At 40.7% G+C, this 22,328-nt stretch overlaps 1 protein-coding gene across 10 annotated transcripts in view, besides 2 other annotated features; it reads right to left on the bottom strand.

Annotated features, from left to right (window-relative positions):
• The window catches only part of C6orf89 (chromosome 6 open reading frame 89), a 57,121-nt gene that overhangs the window by 31,495 nt on the left and 3,298 nt on the right, over positions 1 to 22,328 (bottom strand). For 2 of the 10 annotated variants that reach the window (XM_047418339.1, XM_047418340.1), the window contains exons 2-5: positions 19,363 to 19,404; positions 18,338 to 18,462; positions 14,118 to 14,282; positions 2,867 to 2,966 (exon numbers count right to left, since the gene is read on the bottom strand). Coding sequence is in view for 1 of the 10 variants with exons in the window: in NM_152734.4 (NP_689947.2) it covers positions 11,442 to 11,443 (2 nt within the window). In the remaining 9 variants the exon portion in view is untranslated. Of the gene's footprint in view, positions 1 to 2,866; positions 2,967 to 11,441; positions 11,519 to 14,117; positions 14,283 to 17,989; positions 18,009 to 18,337; positions 18,463 to 19,362; positions 19,405 to 22,328 lie in introns of those variants that run through there. The other 8 variants (XM_047418337.1, XM_047418338.1, XM_047418342.1 and 5 more) reach the window with 5 other exon arrangements.
• Positions 11,279 to 11,458: a silencer, noted in NCBI's record as "silent region_17122". NCBI's record gives its function as "represses an Ori minimal core promoter by ATAC-STARR-seq in GM12878 lymphoblastoid cells {active_cell/tissue: GM12878}" and the evidence as "EXISTENCE:reporter gene assay evidence [ECO:0000049][PMID:35858748]".
• Positions 11,679 to 11,758: an enhancer, noted in NCBI's record as "active region_24446". NCBI's record gives its function as "activates an Ori minimal core promoter by ATAC-STARR-seq in GM12878 lymphoblastoid cells {active_cell/tissue: GM12878}" and the evidence as "EXISTENCE:reporter gene assay evidence [ECO:0000049][PMID:35858748]".

Genomic DNA, 22,328 nt, shown 5'->3' with positions numbered 1-22,328 from the left:
ATGGGTTTGAACTATGTGGATACACTTAAAAGCTGATTTTTTTCTACCAACCCAGGATTGAAAATACAGTATTTTCAGGGTGCAAAAACTGCATATACATATACAGAGGGATGATTTTTTGTATAAACAGGTTCTGAAGAATCAACTGTGAAACTTGAATATGCAAGGATTTGGGTGTATATGGAGATTCTGGAACGAATACCCTACATATACCAAGGGACAGCTATATAATTTTTAATGTATTATTTTCAATACATGATGCTAGGACCACTGGATATCCACAAATGAGAAAATGAAGTTGGACCTTTCTTTCTTTTCTTTTTTTTTTTTTTTTTTTTTTGAGACAGAGTCTTGCTCTGGTTGCCCAGGCTGGAGTGCAGTGGCGCGATCTTGGCTCACTGCCACTTCCGCCTCCCGAGTTCAAGCGATTCTCCTGCCTCAGCCTCCCAAGTAGCGGGATTACAGGTACCCACCACCACGCCCAGCAAATTTTTTTGGATTTTTAGTAGAGACGGGGTTTCACCATGTTGGCCAGGCTGGTCTCGAACTCCTGACCTCAGGCAATTCGCCTGCCTCAGCCTCCCAAAGTGCTGGGATTACAGGTGTGAGCCACCATGCCTGTCCCTTTCTTTATACTATACACAAAAATTAACTCAAAATGGATCAAATACCTAAATTTATAAGCTAAAATGATAAAACTTCGAAGAAAACACAGAGAGGGAGGCTTCATGATTCTGGGATTCGGCAATGGTTTCTTAGATATGATACCAAAAGAACAAGTAGCAAAAGAAAAAATAAATTGGACTTCATCAAAATTAAAAACTTTTTGTAGAAGACAAGAGGAGGGGAAAAACCTCAAAAATTCTGTGTCTCAATACCATCAAGAAAGTAAAATGACAAGCCACAGAATGGGAGAAAATTTTTGCAAATTATATATCTGATAAGGGGGTGGTCTATATAGAATACATCAAGAATTATTACAAATCAGTAATAAAAAGACAACCAAATAAAAAAATAGACAAAGGATTTGAATAGCCATTTCTCCAGAAAAGATATACAAATGGACTGGGTGCAGTGGCTCACGTCTGTAATCCCAGCGCTTTGGAAGGCCAAGGTGGCAGATCACTTGAGGTCAGGAGTTCGAGATCAGCCTGGTCAACATGGTGAAACCCTGTCTCTACTAAAAATACAAAAATTAGCCGGGTGTGGTGGCAGGCACCTGTAATCCCAGCTATCTGGGAGGCTGAGGCAGAAGAATCACTTGAATCTGGGAGGCAGAGGTTGCAATGAGCCAAGATTACACCACTGCACTCCAGCCTGGGTGACAGAGTGAGACTCCATCTCAAAAAAAGATATACAAAGGACCAATAAACACACAAAAAGATACTCAACATTATTAACCATCAGAGAAATGCAGATCAAAATCACAGTGAGATATCATTTCACATCCACTGGGATAGCTACAATCAAGAAGTCAGACAAAAAGTGTTGGTAAGGACATGGAGGAATTGAAACATAAAATGGTACAGCCACTATGGAAAACAGCCTGGCAGTTCCGCAAAGAGTTAAACACAGTTACCATATGACCCAGCAATTCTACTTCTAGGTATGTGCCTAAGACAAATGAAAACATATGTCCACACAAAAACTTGTGCACAAATGTGAACAGCAACATTATTCATAACAGCCCCCAAATGGAAGTAATCCAAATGTCCATGAACTGATGAAAGGATAATCACAATGTGGTAGAGCCATATAATGCAAAATCACTGGACGATAAAAAGGAATGCAGTACTGATACATGATACAATATGGATGAACCTTGAAAACATTATGCTAGGTGAAAGAAGACAGTCACGAAAAACTACAGATTATATAGCTGCATTTAGATGAGAAGTCAGGAATAGACACATCTTTTTTTTCTTAATACCTTTTTAACAAACCTGCAAGGAATAGGCAAATCTATAGAGATATAAAGTAGATTTCCAGATGGGAAGTGACTTATCTGAGACCACCCAGTCGGTTGTCACCTGAGCCTCATTTCGACCCCACATTCTTTTCACTAAGCCATTTTTGATTAGCAGCCAGGAGGATGGATTACAAAGCATTAAGAGCCATACTAACAATAACACCAAAAAAACCCCCAGAAATTAAGATGTAGCATTTCCAATTAAAAATAATTCAGGAGTAGATGATCTCTGGAAAATGAGATCACAGCTGGTTTTTATTTTCTTTGTGACTTTCATATTTCCCAAACTTTTCCTGTATCAATTTTGTAATCACAAAATTCTCACAGTCACTTCTAAGGAACATCACTGGGCACAAAATGAGTCAGAGATGTACAGCAATGCATGACCATGGCACCATAGGGAAGAAGCAAGGCATGATTTGCCATGCCAATGACTTTTTGGTTCTCTATAGAGTTGTATTCAAATATTACAGCTGGAAAAATGAAACAGCATTGAACCTGGAGACAAGCTTTGCCAATTGCTAGTGAGATGATTTCGGTTAAATTACTTGGTCTACTTCTGCATCCAAAAAATAAGAGGATTGGACTACAAATTTTAGAGTCTCGCTCTAAAATTCTAAGAATCTATGAACACTTCAGGAAGGAGAAAAATTCAATTCATTAGAAACTGAAGACTCATGTTCAATTGCACTCCTATTCCTGTTCCCACCCTATATGCCAGGTGCCTTGCTAAACACTCTGGAAATATTATCTCAGTGAATCACCACTGTGATCCCATAAGGTAGCTGTGATCGATCCCATTTCATACATGTTCAAGGCTCAGAAAGGTTTCATAACTTGCCAGGATGTGAACCCAAGTGTCCTGACTTCAGGGTTGTTGCATGCTGCCTCCCTTACCAAGTTATTTTCCTATTCTGAGCTGGCAGTTCGGAAACCACGTGTCCCTTGATCACAACTGAGCGGCTGAGAACTGGAAAATGATTGACTACAATGATTCCTGCAAATAGAGTAAAGGGATAACTTATTACAACATTTTTCACATCTTGGTTTTGTGATCAGTGATTCTGAGATGCCATTTTCCTGTTTAAACTAACAAAGACATTCTATGAAAGCAAGTAGGAATAATATTCATTTAAATATGTTACAATTCATTATCTAACAATACCCAGTCAAAACCCATTAAAACTCAGTAGAGGACCAGAATGGAAAGGATCCAGAAAGGACTGCTAGAAACAAATTCCAGTGAAAAACTAGTGTGGATGCTGGGAGGTGGGGTCACAAGCAAGTATCCCTGAGGCAGAAGAGAACATCACACACAGAAGAGAACACGGTGTGCCGGTAGGAGAATCCTGAAGGGGACAAAAGTACAGGTGAGGAAAACAGGATTAATCATCATTATTTTTGATGGCTGTTTTGCAACCTTTGTAAGCCTCCTCAAGTCTTTTTTTTTTCCTTTTTTTCCTTTTTTTTTTTTTTTGAGACAGAGTCTCGCTGTGTTGCCCAGGCTGGAGCACAGTGGTGCAATCTTGGCTCACTGAAAGCTCCGCCTCCCGGGTTCAAGCGATTCTCATGCCTCAGCCTCCTGAGCAGCTGGAATTACAGGCTGGGATTAAAGGATGATATTTTTTGTTGTTTAATTACTATCATATCCAACCAAATGCCAACAGTGTCCCTCTAGCAAGACAATAAAAAATGGCACATGCCACCATACCCAGCTAATTTTTGTATTTTTAGTAGAGACAGGGTTTCACCATATTGGCTAGGCTGGTCTCAAACTCCTGGCCTAAAGTGATCCACTCACCTTGGACTCCCAAGTGCTGGGATTACAGGCATGAACCACCGCGCCTGGCCTGTAAGCCTTTTTGATACACATAAAAATCTTATTAAACTCCCAGTTTGTATCACACACAAAAAAATACGTTTCTTTTCTTGTTGGGTAATTCAAGTTAAAATGATATTAAAACACTGAATATATTTTTGCAAGCCATGCATCCTTCTTCCGAGAGATTATGACACATTTCTCAAGTTATCAGAAAGGTAGTTAATAGCAACTTAGTGACGTTTCTAAGAATACCTGTGGATTGTGATAAGCCCTCTTTTTGGCTTTGGTTATATCAGTCGTCCTAAACTGGAAAAGATTCTGCCCCCAGGGATGCCTGGAGACATTTTTTATTGTCTTGCTAGAGGGACACTATTGGGATTTGGTTGGATACGATGGTAATTAAACAAGAACAAAAAAACTCATCCCTTAAAAAAAAAAAAATCAAGGCCGGGCGCGGTGGCTCACGCCTGTAATCCCAGCACTTTGGGAGGCCGAGGCGGGCAGATCACGAGGTCAGGAGATCAAGACCATCCTGGCTAACACAGTGAAACCCCGTCTCTACTAAAAATACAAAAAATTAGCCGGGCGCGGTGGCGGAGGCCTGTAATCCCAGCTACTTGGGAGGCTGAGGCAGGAGAATGGCGTGACCCCAGGAGACAGAGCTTGCAGTGAGCAGAGATTGCCCCACTGCACTCCAGACTGGGCGACAGAGCGAGACTCCGTCTCAAAAAAAAAAAAAAATTCAAACATAAGGTCATTACTATGCATCAAGCATGAGAGGATTGAGTGAAATCGGCTGAGGCTTGATGGCAATCCACTTACCTGCAGAAAGTAGTTCCAACTCTGGCCAAAGTGAGCTTTGCTACAGGGGGAAGTTCTGAAGAGTTAGCCTGATTCTAACAGTGGCATAGACCTGCAAGGGCACAGGCAGGATCACTAGTGGAGTTATTAGGATCAAAGTATCATGCACCACCTCGGATATGCTAAGTTGCCAGAACTGTTAGGAGTGGAGCTCAGGTGTGTACGCTTTCAAGCCTCTTCTCTGCTGATTAAAGGCACACACCCCCAATTAAGAGACACTACTTTACAACAATAGTTCTCAGGGTAATTCTGCTCCAAAGGGGACATTTGGCAATGTCTGAAGACATTTTTGATTATCAAAACTGGACAGGAGTTGGGCACAGCAGCACATGCCTATAGTTCCAGCTACTCGGGAGGCTGAGGCAGGAGGATCACTTGAGGCCAGAAGTTAGAGGCTCAGTGAGTTACGATCACGCCTGTGAACAGCAACTGCACTCCCGGCTGGGCAACACAGGGAGGCTCCAGCTCTTTTAAAAAAATTAAAAATCAACAAACTGGAGGGGTACTATTAGCATCTGGTGGGTAAAGACTAAACATCCTGCAATGCACAGGAGAACCTCCTCCTACCCCTCCTCAAAACGAGGTCAAGAAACCTTGCTTTCAAGAGAGGCCTGTCGGAGGTAAGCCAGGGAGTTGTTTCACTTCTGGAGTACTTCAGAAATAGGAGGAGACAACTGAGAGCTCTGATGAGATGTTCTCCACAATTCCTTCTGGGTCTCTGCCTATGAAGAAACAGGGTAGAGGCATATCTGACAGAAAAACTCTGATAGAACTTACCAATACAAATGTTTCTTTAAAGCAGAAAAGAAGTTAAGAGAAATGTAAACTTCTCTTTTGCCCTGTTTAACAGAGAACTAATTCCTCTATAGAGATAAGTAAGTCCTGAACACTGATATGCCATTACCCTGGACGTTCTGTTTTCTGAAGAGCTATGCCAGCGAGGTAACTCTAGGATAGAAAACTGATTCATCTAGTTAAAGCACAAAAGGGGAAACAGTACAGTTCAAAAGAAAGTTTCAAAAGTCCATCAAGATACATCCCAATCTTCAACACTAGGAGCTATATCCAGAGTAAATTAAATTTTCTTTTTTCTCTACTTGGCTCTTTAATATTACACTACCCATGAAGTATGGTATCCATTCTTTAGTGTTATGAATATATTCCATTCTATTTTATCCAGTGATCCCATTAATTAAATATATGTTCTAGTAAAGAAAAAGTGCTCCTTCAACCATTGTGGAAGACAGTGTGGTGATTCCTCAAGGATCTAGAACTAGAAATACCATTTGACCCAGCCATCCCATTACTGGGTATATACCCAAAGGATTATAAATCATGCTGCTATAAAGACACATGCACACATATGTTTATTGTGGCACTATTCACAAATAGCAAAGACTTGGAACCAACCCAAATGTCCATCAATGATAGACTGGATTAAGAAAATGTGGCACATATACACCATGGAATACTATGCAGCCACAAAAAAGGATGAGTTCATGTCCTTTATAGGGACATGGATGAAGCTGGAAACCATCATTTTGAGCAAACTATCGCAAGGACAGAAAACCAAACACCGTATGTTCTCACTCATAGGTGGGAATTGAATAATGAGAACACTTGGACACAGGAAGGGCAACATCACACACTGGGGCCTGTAGTGGGGTAGGGGAGTGGGGAGGGATAGCATTAGGAGATATACCTAATGTAAATGACGAGTTAATAGGTGCAGCACACCAACATGGCACACATATACATATGTAACAAACCTACACGTTGTGCACATGTACCCTAAAACTTAAAGTATAATAATAATAAAAAGAAAAAGTGCTTCTTAGATTATAATAAGAACCACTACAAAGAAACAAACATCAATTAAAAGGAAAAATAACTGATAAAACATTGAAATGATTAATACGATTTAAAAGAGTAATAACTTAAAACTACAATAAATGCTTAAAATTTACAATCAAGGTACAGGCAGGGCACAGTGGCTCACACTTGTAATCCCAAAACTTTGGGAGGTTGAGGCGGGTGGATCACTTGGGGCCAGGAGCTGGAGATCAGCCTGGCCAACATAACATAGCAAAACCCTGTCTCTACTAAAAATACAAAAATTAGCCAGGCATGGTGACGCATGCCTATAATCCCAGCTACTCGGGAGGCTGAGGCATGAGAATCACTTGAACCTGGGAGGTGGAGGTTGCAGTGAGCAGAGATCACATCATGGCACCCCAGCCTGAGCAACAGACTGAGACTCTGTGTCAAAAGAATAAAATTTTTTTTTTAAATGTAGTATATACATACAATGGAATATTATTCAGCCTTAAAAAAGAAAGAAATCCTGCTATTTGTAACAATACGGATGGACCTGGAGGACATTATGCTAAGTGAAATAAGCCAGACACAGAAAGATAAATACTACATGATACCACTTGTGCGATTAATCTAAAATAGCTAAACTCATAGAAGCAAAGAACAGAATGGTGGTTGCAGGAGGCTGCAGGCAGGGGGAAACAGGGAGGTACTGGGCAAAGAATACAAAGTTTCAGTTATACAAGATGAATAACTCCTAGAGACCTACTATACAGCACAGTGCCCAGAGTTAACAATACTGTATTGTATATTTAAAAATATGCTAAGAAGGTAGGTCTTATGTTAAGTGTTCTTATTGCTAATAGTAATAATAAGTAAGAAGGCAGGAGGAAACTTGAAGGTGATGGATAGGTTGATGGCATGGATCATGGTGATGGTTTCACAAGGGCATACTTATGTCCAAATTCATCAAGCTGTACACATTAAATGTGTAAAGCTTTTTGTACAAAAATAGTACAATGAACACCTGGATATCCTTCATTTAGATTTACCAGTTGTTTACATTTGGCTATATTTTCTTTCTGTTTTTACCAGAACTACTTGAAAGTTATTTGCAACACATTATAAAATCATTTCTAAATATTTCAACATGCATCTCCTAAGAATAACGACGTTATTCTACACACAACCATTGGCATTATTGCCATACCCATTAAAATGAGTAATCTCTTAATATTACCTAATATTCAGTCTATAGTCAAGTTTCCTTAACTATCAAATTTTTTTAAAAAGATCATATAGCTATTTAAAAATCCAGGATCCAACCAATGACCACACATTGAATTTGGCTGCCATGCCTCTCTTTAATCTACTTAACTTCAGAACAAGTCCCCAGTGTGTGGTTTTTCTTTTTTTTTTTGTTTTTGTTTTTTGGTCTTTTAGGACATTGACATACTTGAAGAAGTCTTCACATTTTTAAGCTTACCTCTACTTGCTTCCATCCTCACCCTTTCCAGTTTCTACTATCAGAAAAATGCCATAATAGTTCCTTTCTAAGTTTCTGGTACTCTCTCCCTCCCTCCCTTCAGAGGAAAGCTCCTTTGGGGGTTGGGGGGAGAAAGTAACACACTTTCTTGTTTCTCAGGTTTCCATTCATTTATTAACCTGTTGAAATCATATTTCTGCCTCCTCACTCCACCGACATTGCTTTCACTGAGGCCACAAATGGCTTTCTAAACGCCAAGTTCGAAGGACGTTTTTTTCAGTTATTACCTTATCTGACCTCTCTGCAGCAGCTGCTGTTGCTACCCCATTATCTATCTCCCTCAAGTGTACTCAAACCTTAACATAATTCTCTCGTTCTCTGCTGGTATCCACCAGTTATCCTTGACCTTCTTATTCCCTCCAACACTTTGACCACCAGCTATTGGTGATTCCCAAATCTCTTCTCCAGTCTACAACTCTCTCTAGGGTTCAAGACCCATTTATCTACCTGCCTACCAGACACGGTGATCCAAGTTTCCCATAGCTCCCTGTATGTAATGTGTCTATAACCCAACTTACTGTTTTCCCCTTCAACTCATTCCTCCCACTGCACCTCTTTTCTTAATGGAAACACTAATCCTCCAAATTTAAAAACTATTCTCCTCCTACCTCACTCCCACCAATGAAACTATCACTAAGTCCTCTTGATTCAGCCTCCTATATAATTCTCACATTCATCCCTTCCTCTCTACATTAACAGCACAGTTAAGGTCTTCAACATCTCTCCTATGGACCATCACAAAGATGTAGTTAATCTCTATACTTCCAGTTCTCCTCTTCCCCAATCCATTCTCTACCTTGTCCAGTTTTTTATTTTTATTTTCTGAGACAGGGTCTCACTCTTCGCTCAGGCTGGAGTGCAGTGACATGATCTCAGCTCACTGCAACCTCTGTCTCCTGGCTTCAAGAGATTCTCGTGCCTCAGCCTCTGGAGTAGCTGGGAGTACAGGCACGCGCCACCACACTCAGCTAATTTTTGTATTTTTCTGGTAAAAAATGGGTTTCACCATGTTGGCCAGGCTGGTCTTGAACTCCTGACCTCAAGTGATCCACCCACCTTAGCCTCCCAAAGTGCTAGGATTACAAGCGTGAGCCGCTGCACTCGGCCACTTATTTTTTTGAAACACAAATTGGCTCATGCTAAGCACCTTCCAAGACTCCCCATCCTCTGCAGGAGCAGTTTAGCATGGTGACTAAGAACACAGATACTGGAGTTGGAAAAAGCTGGATGCAAATTCTAGATTTTACCACTTACTGTGTGGCCATGAGACACTACTCATCCTCTCTAAGCCTCAGTTTTCATGTATAAAATGGGGATAATTATTTCTACCCCACAATGTTTTATTTCAGAGAATTATAAAATGATGTAACACATTTGTTCCAATAGCCAGACAAATTAAATACCTAATAACAATCATTTTAAGATAAAGTCCTAAGTCAAGCATGGTGGTTCATGCCTGTAATCCCAACACTGGGAGGCTGAGGTGGGAGGACTGCTTGAGCCCAGGACTTCCAAGACCAGCCTGGGTAACATAGCAAGACCCTGTATCTACAAAAAAAATAAAAATAAAAATTGGCCGAGTGTGGTGGTGCCTGCCTGTAGTCCCAGCTACTTGGGAAGCAGAGGTGAGGGGTAGCTTGAGCCCAGGAGTTCGAGGCTGCAGTGAACCGTAATAGCACCACTGTACTCCAACCTGGGTGATGGAATGAGATTCCTGTCTTTTTTAAAAGATAAAGTCCAAATTACTTACCATGGCCCTTTATGATCTGGTCACTGCCTACCTGTTCAGTTTCATTTCCCATCAATCCTTCTTCACATTCTACACTGTCATACTATTTCACATCTTTTTGCTTTTGCATACACAATTTCCTCTGCCTAAAAAGCCTAGTCTCCAGTGCTTTGTCCAATAAGTGAACTCTTTAAGACTCTGACCTCAGTTTTTGTCCTATGCACCTCTAGGGCTTGGCATTACATCTATTTTCCTGTCTACCTCCCACCCTAAATAGTGTTTCTTGAAAGCAGAGATAAATGGAGAAAACACAAAAAACTAAGAACAGACGTGGGAATTCACCTCAGATGTGGAATCAGATCAATGTTGAACAAATTTATAGAAAGGACCTAAAATTATCATTCCGAACTAATTGAATGTAACTCGTGGCTCATGGTTTATTCATTTTATGTTTTATTATTTTATTCATTTTTAAAAATGCAGAGGTCGGGAGCCTGAGGCAGGAGAATGGTGTGAACCGGGGAGGCGGAGCTTGCAGTGAGCAGAGATCACGCCACTGCACTCCAGCCTGGGCGACAGTGTGAGACTCCGTCTCAAAAAAAAAAAAACAAAAAAACGCAGAGGTAGCAACAATGTGATGAGGGTTTAAGGTTAGCAGGTTAGGAATCTAGCATTTGGACATTGTTTCTGGTGTGTGGAGTAGCTGTGGAGGAACAGGTATTCAAAGCAGGTCTTGAAAAATGCCTCAGTCCAAGGCAGAAAAGGTCTGACAGAAACAGGACCTCTTTCTGGTATGCAAGTTGGGCTACATGAACCTTTAGTCAAAACTTCAATGTAGCAGAATTGAATTTATTAGTTATTATTTTAAAGGCATGTTATTCCCTAGAGGGAAATTTTGACAACCCAAATTCAAATGAACGAATTTATTAAGGGAGAGACGTCTATAGAAGATCCCACCACAGGAACTACCAAATGAGCCATCAGAAAAGTCAGAATACTAAGTATCTGGAAGTAGTCTCTATTATAAAGTGATTTATGACTAAATACTTTAAAAGAAACATATTTGCGAATACAAAGGCTATGAGGGCTCTGAGACTAGAAAGTGTGGCCTGCACGGTTAACAGTCTTAAAATACTACAAAACACGACGCAGGCAAATTTCCTTCTACTAAGAGGTGATTACAAACAACTATTTTACTTGTGTCAAGAAACCAAGTCATATTTCTTTCTGAAATCCAAGATGCCAGGTTTATCACATACCAAGTACACATTTAAAGAAAAAAAATTATTGCCCCCTAACGATTATTAGAAAAAGATCTTTCAGAAGGGGGTGGGGAATCTACTCTTAATTTCTTAAAAATTCCGTCAAAAGGGCAGAAATCTGGACTTCATTAGCAACGCTCAAGTTATGGACACTGCTGTGATGCCTGAGAACCAAGTTCAAGCAAGGTCCACCTCGTTTTGCTCTCCCCGGCGGAGTCAAAGAAAGTGACAGATGTCTTAAGGGAGTCGACCCCGGGGGAGCTGCCAGGGGATGCTGTCAGTCTACAAAACTGGAGAGACTGAGAAAAGGGATCCGCGCTGGGATAGAGGGTGGTAGCAGCGGCGAGAAGCGGCTGCGCGAGGATGTCAGAGACGGGCGCGGCGAGGCTGTCACAGGGCGGCCTCCCCCCACCCAGCCTCGGGCCCCAGTCACTCACATGCGGGGCTCGCGCCCCTCGGGCTCCTCCCGCCTCGGGGACAGCTGCCGCCGGGCGAGGAGGATGGGCAACTTCCTGTTTCCGGGAGCGCGACCCGGAAGCAACCCCCCACTCCTGGGCGAGGCCTTGTACCCTAGAGTAATTCCTCCTCTCGTCCAGCGCTTCCGCCCAAAACAGAACACTCAGTGTCGTGGCGAGCGCGGGACCTCTCGCGATATCTGGAGAGTGTAGGTTCTTGCTCCCCCTGGCGTCCTTCTTCCGTTCTGGCTCTTTTCGCCCCAGTCCTAAATCCTTGTCTTCCTAATTTACCTGGACTGGCTCACACAGACTTCATAGCTGAACTGATCCATAGAACAAGCATTTACTGAGTCCCCTACTATGTGCCAGGCAGCATGTTAGGCATTAAGGGATGGGAGTGGAAGGGAAATGTAAATGAAGAGCAGCCCCTTCCTTCTGGAAGCTACTACTCTTGAGAAAGACGAACAAATCCCTCCAGTTTTCACTCAGCCCACTCATTAGTGAGAGCTTACTCTGTTGATAAAAGAAAAACTTAAGCCGAATTAAGTATAAAGGAGTTTAATTGAGCAATGGAAGATTCACGAATCAGGCAACCCCCAGAATCACAGCAGATTCACAGACTCCCAGGGTGCCTCATGGTCAGAACAAATTTATAGATAAAAAAGGCAAAGTGAGGCACAGGAATCGGAAGTAAGGTACAGAAACAGTGAGGTTGGTTACAGCTCGGTGTTTGCCTGATTTGAACGCAGATTGAACATTCAGCAGGCTGTGAGTGGTTGAAGTATGGCCGCTGGGATTGGCCACCACTCAGTTATTGTTACAGGTGTATACTATTAAGTTAGGTTTTCAATTTTGTTTGACTATTAAGCTATGTTACAGTTCATCCACAAGGACTCAAATATAGAAGGACAGAGTCCTTCTCAGGCCATATTTAGTTTGCCTTAACAATTCCCCCGTTTTGGTCATTTTCTCAATTTTGAGAGATTGACCAAAACCTTGGTCATTGATGTTATTATCGCTGTCATAAGTGTACCTGTATGGTTTTGAAACTCACTAGGAAACAGTAGAACAGTGGGTTTTGCAGGAAGAGAATAAGGGCTGAGTAGAGGATACCTCCTTATTCTGAAACATCTGTTTACAGGAGAAAAAACCTGGTCTGTTCTAGCATTTTGTGTTTTTTTAAAGCCTTGGTTTGATTATGTCACATTTAGCATGAGTGACTCCATTTTAGTTTGGTTTGGTTTGTTGGTGCCTAGTGCATGAGCTCAGTCCAAAATAATGGCCTCCCATGATTTTGTTTAAAAAAAAATTCCTCACTTTTGGCCAGGTTCTTACTTAGGTGACAGCGTGACCAGAACTTAGGGCCTTAGCGCCACTCTCAGTTACATCATTTTGGGTTTCTGGTCTCAGCATGTCATTCATAGGTTACGGTGCCTTCATGGTCACACATTTCTTTCAGTTTTTGTTATTCCAGTTGAAAAGAGATCATTTGACGTTGTAGAGATGGCTGCATGCAAGCATTTAAAATCTTTGAGAGAATACAGTGCACCAGGGAGACTATTATTATCATTATCGGGCGGATAATAGCAAGAGTTTGGAGTATGCTCCTTACCCAGGGTCCCCATAAGCCAAACCACCTAAAATTAAATAGATTGAAGAATGAGTTAGATGAAGAGTCTCCTTGCTTGACTAAGTGGTCTTTTCACTAATCCCCTACAACTGGATATTTATTTTTATTGTATTTATTTTGTGAGAGGGAGTCTTGCTCTGTCACCAAGGCTGGAATGCAGCGGCGATCTCAGCTCACTACAACCTCCACCTCCTAGGTTCAAGTGACTCTCCCGCCTCAGCCTATTGAGTAGCTGAGATTACAGGCACCTGCCACCACGCCAGGCTAATTTTCATATTTTTAGTAGAGACAGGGTTTTGCCATGTTGGCCAGGCTGCTCTCAAACTCCTGACCTCAGGGGATCCGCCTACCTCTGCCTCCCAAAGTGCTGAGGTTACGGGTGTCAGCCATCACGCCCGGCCAGAATTGTTTATAATTTACATTTGCTGTATTTCTCCATAGGCCACAGGTGTCAACAGCTGCACAGGTACTTTTCTGTTTAGCCAATTCTATTACTTAGTATAATTTTCAAAGGAGAATTTAAAGTCTGTTGTGTAACGATAGCCTTTAAAGTAGAATTTGCTGTAGAGCCTATTATGAGGGAGACATTTCAAATTATTGCCTCTTTTATTCTAAACCATGGAAAAAGGACCTAACAAATGGATGTCTTTCTAGAAGAGTGAAGGCCTCTTGTCAATGTTCTCTTTAATCCATGATGTGGGTTAAGAGGAGTTTTGACTGATTATGAGGCAATGTATGTACCACTAAAGTTTGTTACCTACATTGGGCCTTCATCTTTTATCTATTGAAATATAAGGTTATTCATGTTTAAGGCTGGCTGCAAAATCCTTCACAAATAAAAGTATACCCTATAAGTGCATATAATAGACCCACTTTTAATTTCTATTGTTCATAGAGGCATAAACAAGGAAAAAATATTCAAAGATAAGAGTCTTGTGATAGTAGAAGTTTTGATCTATGATCTTGGGAAAAGCTATTCTAATCAAGGATGCCATCTTCTGGGGAGAAACTTTTCTGGTTAGTTTTACCTTAAGGGTTCCAATGGATGTACAGTTCCAGGAGTGTGGAGGGACCCTTCTCAGCTGTGAGATTATGAACCCAAGGTTTAAAGCTCCAAAGTTTTGCTGTAGTGTGGATGGCAAGGACAGTCTTTCTCTTTCTCTGGTGTTCTCAGACGATCCAATCTGCAGGTTCTAGATTGTGAAGGGATTGTCCTCAGTGAATCATAAAAAGTTTTCTTTGTCTGGTGAAAATACACTATAATCTACTGTTATAACATCAGCCCTATTGCATGGGAAAGCTTTTATACAACCAGAAAACATGCATTGAAAATGACAATTCAGGCCGGGCGCGGTGGCTCACGCCTGTAATCCCAGCACTTTGGGAGGCCGAGGCGGGTGGATCATGAGGTCAGGAGATCGAGACCATCCTGGCTAACAAGGTGAAACCCCGTCTCTACTAAAAATACAAAAAAAATTAGCCAGGCGCGGTGGCGGGCGCCTGTAGTCCCAGCTACTCGGGAGGCTGAGGCAGGAGAATGGCGTGAACCCGGGAAGCGGAGCTTGCAGTGAGCCGAGATTGCGCCACTGCAGTCCGCAGTCCCGCCTGGGCGACAGAGCGAGACTCCGTCTCAAAAAAAAAAAAAAGAAAAAAGAAAAAAAAAAAAAGAAAATGACAATTGAATGAAATCTCTTTATAAATGTTTAAATGGCCCATCAGGTAGCCAAACGCATCTGAAGCTTTGATCGTCTTTCCAGGAATATGGAACCAAACATTGGATTTAAATTATTTCTGCAATTTATAAGTCACCACATCAATATATTAAATTTGGATTATTTTATCTTTTCCAGAACGTTTAATAACAAAAGCTTTAAGGACTCAAGAAGGACAAGGTGGCCATCCTGGTTCTTCATGAGTCCATGCTTAACACGGGACTTACGTCCTCTTGAATACCAGTTGTTTCTCCAATTTAGGTGCATAGCACTGATAGCTAATGGGTTATCATAGGTAATTTGACTTAGACCATGGAGTTCATTCAAATTGTATATTTAAACAATTTTAGTATTGGCTTATTTAGCATGATAATCTAGAGCTTGATTTTGAAAGGTTTGTTAAATACCAAAGGTTTAAAACATTGGATATTACAAAATAGAATCTTAGGTTACCATAAGTCATTCATTTAGCCAAAATGATAACTTAAAAAATTTTAAAGGAAAAAACAGTATTTTGATAGAAAGGAGACTCAGCTTTCCAAACAAGATCCAATGAGGATAGCATGAGGCCAACTGACTATCTCCTTTCTTTCCTTCCTCAACCATTTTTTTTTGTTGTTTATTTAAAAGGTAAACAAAAACCTTTCATTATCTTTTAATATTAAATAAAAATCCTTTCTAAAAGAGGGAACCAAATTTTATGTTTCCATTAGTGTATTTTTAATGTTAAAGCTAGTTTTTAATAATATTTTAGAAATCTATTCAGTTTTAATTAGTTTGACCATAAGGTAAGATTTTTATAAACCTTTTATAACCCTTTACTATTTTTTTTCTCAGAGCAGAACAATCTTCTAAGAAAACTCTGTTGTGCTTTTATTCCAATGTCCCATTTATGGAAAAAAAAACTGAATAATGCCATTTTAACTTTAGCCAATATGTTCACACATAGAATCCTAATAATTAATTGTTTTGTTTTGTTTTGTTTTGTTTTTTCGAGATGGAGTTTCACTCTTGCTGCCCAAGCTGGAGTGCAATGGTGTGATCTTGGCTTGCTGCAACCTCGGCCTCCCAGGTTCAAGCGATTCTCCTGCCTCAGCCTCCCCAGTAGCTGGGATTACAGGCGTGCAACACCACGCCTGGCTAATTTTTTGTATGTTTAGTAGAAACGGCATTTCACCATGTTAGCCAGGCTGGTCTCGAACTCCTGACCTCAGGTGATCCACCCACCTCAGCCTCCCAAAGTGCTGGGATTACAGGCATGGGCCACCGTGCCTGGCCCCTATAATTAATTTTTATAAACCTTCCACAACTTGTTCAAACCTTTAGCTTTATTTAATTTAAAACAATCCTTTAACCCTCTAACCTAGGCAAAAATTTACATTCCTGTATTTTCTTATAATCTCTTACAAAAAACACATTTCATTCTCCTTACACACCTTGCATGTAAACCTATTTTTTCAGTACTCTCAATTACATATTACAATGTTAACTCTTAGCAACTTTTACTTTTGGTGAAAACCTTGGTAAGTAAGGATTTTAATTATGTACTAGGTGTGGAGCCCAGGACCCAGACAGAAATGCAGATAAAGGTCCGACTCTTTCCAGCATCTAACTACAGGTGTCCCAGGCCTTACCTAGCTATAAAGCAGGCAGGCTGTACAGTTAAGAGTCATGGTGGCATTTTATGAAGCATTTAGGAGGCCTAATCACCTTAAATTGTACAACATGTCTGGCATGAATTCCTTTTCATAAATTTTTTCACAACTTACACAGACTATGTGTGACATGTTTAGACTTTCTGACTTGCCCTAAACATCCCTCTTTTTAAACAACCAGTCATTTTACTTTAGGACAAGAATTTACCATACAACATCCTTTCTTAATGAAATCTATTTTCTTTATAGCCTTTGTATAGCTAGGGGGCATGGCTAATTCCATATATCCCCAGGCCTTATTTAGAATTTAATGTCTCCAAAATAAATTGAACAATTTTCAAAAGTCAAAGCAGTTTATGACCTTGAAGCATATAGCAAAGCTAATATCTGACCTGCATAATTTAGACAAAATGTCTTTATCAATAATATTTAAAGTTGTTTTTATTTCCCAAAGATTACTAAAGTTACATGAACCAAGAGGCATTACAGTTTTTATTTTGCTTTCAAAATATTTAAGTGCTTATTTTTGTTTAAGCCAATTAATTTGAGCTCTTTTATATAAACATTACACACAATACATATATAATTAGACAGACAGGCAGAAGAAGATTACTATAGTAGTTGTAAGATTTTTCTTTTGCCAGTTTTTAAGTTTCTTAATTGGTTATTGGCTTTATGGTGGAGTCCTTGGAGGAACAGGGCCAGGAAAAGGGTTTCTGGTGCCTCCTGTTTTTCCCATGGATTCCAGGCCATTAGAGCCTGAATATTCATTTTTTAATTAACCTGACTTTTAAGCATAGCACTCTTTAATAAAGTCCTTTTAAATTTCTTATTACTGATTTTACCCAGGCCAAATGGCTGATATTTCTGGCTTTTGAACTTTACCAAAGGTAACTTCCTAGGTGCTCGAGGAAGGAAAATTTAAGATAGTCTGTGGAGGAGAAGAGACTAGAGAAGGTTATGCAGATATTAAATCAGAAATGACTTACTTCCTAAGCAGGGAATGGAACTGGAACCGCCAGTGTGAAAGGCCAGTGAGCCACAGCACAGAGCAGTCTACTGCCCTTCCCAGAAGGAGTCTAGAGTAGTTAATTTTGAGCTTGCAGAGGCTTTTAATGACTCAGGATAATTTTTAGAGCTAACTATGGCATAAACCCTAAAATCCCTGTTCCCTAGAAGGTGGAGACCAAGAGAAAGTACTGCCACGTGGTTACGAGGTCAAGTTCCCAAGGACATAAAACAAGATGGAGACCCCATCCAGTTTTTTTTTTGTGTTTCAGGGACCTGCAGGAAAGTTTGTTATTGACCAGCGAGCTTGTGGGGTCCTAAGCCCGTGTTTTATCCTAAGGTACCCCTTGACCCAGAAAAACGAATTCATAGCACAAATACATCAGTTTAAGACTAACCTCAGAATTTTTTTTGCATTAATCAAAACCTTAGAGAAGAGATAAATAAACAGTGATTTTTACCATTCATTCAACCATTTGCACAGAGAGAGAGAAGCCAAAAATCTGACTGGTAAGAAATTCTTACTCTTTTGCTGGCATGCCAGCCTTCTGGGTTCCCTTTCCCTCAGCGGCCCCAGTGACCCAGCTTGCCACACCATCACACTGGGGGCCAAGCCGCATCATAAAGGAAAAATTTTTTGTTGTTGTTCCGGCCAGAGCAAAATACATGTGATAAAACACAGACATTAGCCACTCTGCTTAGCACTCAATATCAAACTGGCAAGGTTTATATTTGCCCTCAGATGGGCCCCGTTATCTTTAATCCAATGTCTGACTAGGGGTTTCAACACGTGATCTCTGGGCAAGCTGGTTGCCCTGAGTAATAGAAAAGATAAAAAAGGGAAAGGAAAGAGAGATCCGAGAGGGAGCTTACCTGTGATCCCCAGCTGCTGTGAGAGATCAATAGACACAAGTGGATCCTGCAGGTACCTTGCATGTTCACTCAGTGCTCCTGGGGGTCGCTAGAAGCTCCACTTTAGATCCCATTCCTGACACCATCTGATAAAAGAAAAACTTTGGCTGAATTAAGTTTGAAGGAGTTTAATTGAGCAATGAATGATTCGCAAATCGGGCAACTCCCAGAATCACAGCAGATTCACAGAGACTCCAGGGGTGACTCGTGATCAGAACAAATTTATAGACAAAAAGGTAAACTAACGTACAGCAATAGGAAGTGAGGTACAGAAACAGCGAGATTGGTTAAAGCTCAGTGTTTGCCTTATTTGAATGCAATTTGAACATTCGGCAGTCTATGAGTTGTTGAAGTATGGCCGCTGGGATTGGCCAACATTCAGCTATTGTTACAGGTATATACTATTAAGTTAAGTTTTCAAATTTGTCTGACTATAAAGCTAGGTTATAGTTCATCCACAAGGACTCAAATATAGAAGTACAAAGCCCTTCTCAGGCCATATTTAGTTTGCTTTAACACTGTGACAGACTGTACTAAGCACTTTCAATTCATGGAGCCACTTCATCAACCCTATGGCATAAATAGCCCCATAACATCCTCATACAAACAAAACTGAAGTTTATGGAGAGGTTAACTTGCTCAAGATTTTACAGATAAGGAATGGAAGGATCAGCATTTGAACCCAGACTCCTTAACCTGCCCTGTGTGTAGCGCCAAATCTCTTAACTGCTTTCTACAAGAAATCTGCAAACAAAATACTACTGGGTTCAGACTAATGCTATAGCTACAGAGGTAGTGTGACAGTGACATAAATGTATGAAACCAATGAAACAGAATAGAGAGACCAAAACCAGAAAACACATATATGGACACTTGATTTATGACAAAGAGGTGAAACAGAGGAGTGAGGAAAAGATAATGCTTTCAATCAATGGTGCTGGGTCAATTGTATATCCATATAGAAAAAAATGAAACTTGGCTCCTACCTCATACCATACACCAAGATAAGTTCTAGATGCATTGCAGATCTATATGATAAAAACAAAACAGAATTATAGAGCTGCAATATTGAGATGTCCAATAATGTCTGTCCAACACTGACATGTTCTGTAAGAGAGAAAATGCATATGTTGGACTACATTAAAATTAGAAACTTTCCAGTGTTATATTCTGTCCAGGATATATAAGGAACTTTACAAATAAGAAAACAGCCAAATAGAAAAATAGGTAGAAGATTTGAACACAAAAAGGTATCACAAAGAGGATATCTAAATGGCACACATATGGAAAAAGAATTCAACTTCATTAGTCATTAGTTGTTAGTGAAATTACTACTGAGATATTGTTATAGAGGCTTCAGGATTCCTTAAATGAAAAAGACTAGCAATACTAAGAGTTGGCTTGGAAGCAGAGCAACAGCAATTCTCACAGGCTGCTGGTGCATACATAAATTGCTACAGCCACTGGCCAGGCGTGGTGGCTCATGCCTGTAATCCCAGCACTTTGGGAGGCCAAGGTGGGCAGATCACAAGGTCAAGAGATTGAGACCATCCTGGCCAACATGGTGAAACCCTGTCTCTATTAAAAATACAAAAATTAGCTGGGTGTGGTGGCATGCGCCTGTAGTCCCAGCTACTCGGGAGGCTGAGGCAGGAGAATCGCTTGAACCCACGAGGTGGAGGTTACAGTGAGCTGAGATTGTGCCACTGCACTCCAGCCTGGCGACAGAGTGAGATTGTGTCTCAAAAAAAAACAAAAAATTGCTACAGCCACTTTGCAACAGTCTAGTGTTAACTACTAAATTATACATGTTACCTATGACACAGCAATTCTGCTTCTAGGTATATACTCCCAAAAATTCATGCACAAGTGCACTAAGATACATACACAAAATATCCATCGCAGCACCATTATACATTGTGGTATGTTTGTACAACAGAATACTACACAGCAAGGAAAAATGAAAAATGGCCACTACATACAACATGAATACATCTCACAAACATATTGTTAAGGAAAGGAAGCCAGGCACAAAAAAATACGTACTTTATAACTCCATTTATATAAAATTCAAAAACAGGGAAAACCAATCTATGATATTAGAAGGCAGAAAGTGGTCTACCCTTTGGGAGGAAGGAATGGGTAATGATTAGTAGGGGGGCTTCTGAGGAATTGGAGACATTTTATTTCTTGATTTGATTTGACCCCTCATGGCTTCTGGCTAACTCCAATTTATTTTCTGGATCTCAACCCAGGCTGTCACTCCAGGGGAAATTTTTGACTGTCCAAACCTACTCTGGAGTAACCAGAGCTCAGGGAAAACTGTGTTTCTTCTTCTTCTTCTTCTTCTTCTTTTTTTTTTTTTTTTTGAGATGGAGTTTCACTTTTGTTGTGCAGGGTGGAGTGCAAAGGCAAAATCTCTGCTCACTGCAGCCTCCACCTTCCGTGTTCAAGTGATTCTCCTGCCTCAGCCTCCGAAGTAGCAGGGATTACAGGCATGCACCACTATGCCCAGCTTATTTTGTATTTTTAGTAGAGACAGGGTTTCACCATGTTGGTCAGGTTGGTCTTGAACTCCTGACCTCAGATGATCTGCCCGCCTCGGCCTCCGAAAGTGCCAGATTACAGGTGTCAGCCACTGCACCCAACCTACTGTGTGCTTCTTATTACAGTCCTCATTCCACGCTCCTACAGCTACGTATTTAGTTGCCCATCTCTCCTAGAATGTGAGTTTCTTTAGGGCAGGGCACTGTGTGTGTGAGACTCATCTCTGTCTCCTCAGTGCCAAGTGACTGGTAGGAGCTGCAGTAAAAGATTTAGGAAGAAAGTGATCATGATCTTGGGGGTGGCTTTTCAATATTCAGACATTGGAGCCTGGGAATGGCACATGACTCCCGAGATACACAGTAAAGAACTACATAAAGTCCAGAGAAAGGCAACTTAACAACAGACTAAACAGACCAAGGATTAAGACTTTTTCATCCAGCTCAAGGGCCACAAGGTGGGCATGAACTTGAAACTGCAGGAGGTGTAAAAATTATACTTTAGCATTTATCAGTTTAAAATGTAGTGTTCCGTTCATTATTCATTCAGCAAAGCTGAGCACCCTGTGCTCTGTACTGTGCAAGAAGAGCACAAAGATGAAGGAGGCCCAGCTCCTCTCTCAAGGAGCTGTCTAGTTTATCTTTACAACCTTGTACATCCTTATTCCTTGTTGACAATTAGGGACATTACAGTTGAACTGTCGTTAAGAGCACAAGTGCACCAGCTGTAGTACTTTAAGCAAGTTATTTAATCTGTAAGGCTCAGCTTCCTCAAAGTAAAATGGGAATAGTAATATCTACCTTGTGGGATTTTGAAGATTAAGCGTGAAAATACGCAATAAAATGCTTAGCTTGATGCCTGGCACATGGTAAACATTCAACCATCATTATTAAGTGGTGTGCAAAGCATTTACAGCGTTAAGTTTAGGTACTCTATTTCATTTTTGTCCTCCCTCCAAACATTATAGCTCCTCTAATTTGCTTCTGTTCCTCGCGCCCTGCGCAAACCCTCCTAACAACTTTCAGGTACCATCTATCCCAGCCAATGTTAAGCCTTGTTCTTGCTCTGATCCGTTTGTCCTGTTTTCTCCTGTCTCTTCCTTTCTTTATCTCCTATTTTCTTCCTGCCCCTTCCCTCTCTTTTCTCCTCAGACTCCTCGTCTTTGGATTCTGCAGGCTCAGATTTGCTTTATGACTATGGAAAAACAAGTATTAACTGCCGAGTCTATTTTCAGATCTGAAAAATGGTAATAATACTATCTACTTATAGAATTGTTTTGTGGAGTAGATGAGATAAGAAAGTGCAAGCACTGTGTACATCGTACAGCGCCTTACAAAAATTCTTTACTGGCATCTCTAAACTACCCTCTTTCATTCTCTGCCTCCCCTTCCCGTCCCTGCCCAATTGT

This window comes from Homo sapiens, chromosome 6, assembly GCF_000001405.40.
Source record: "Homo sapiens chromosome 6, GRCh38.p14 Primary Assembly".
Classification (NCBI taxonomy): Eukaryota; Metazoa; Chordata; class Mammalia; order Primates; family Hominidae; genus Homo; species Homo sapiens.
The sequence above is the reverse complement of the archived record's forward strand: the minus strand, read 5'-3'. Positions and strand labels throughout refer to the sequence as shown.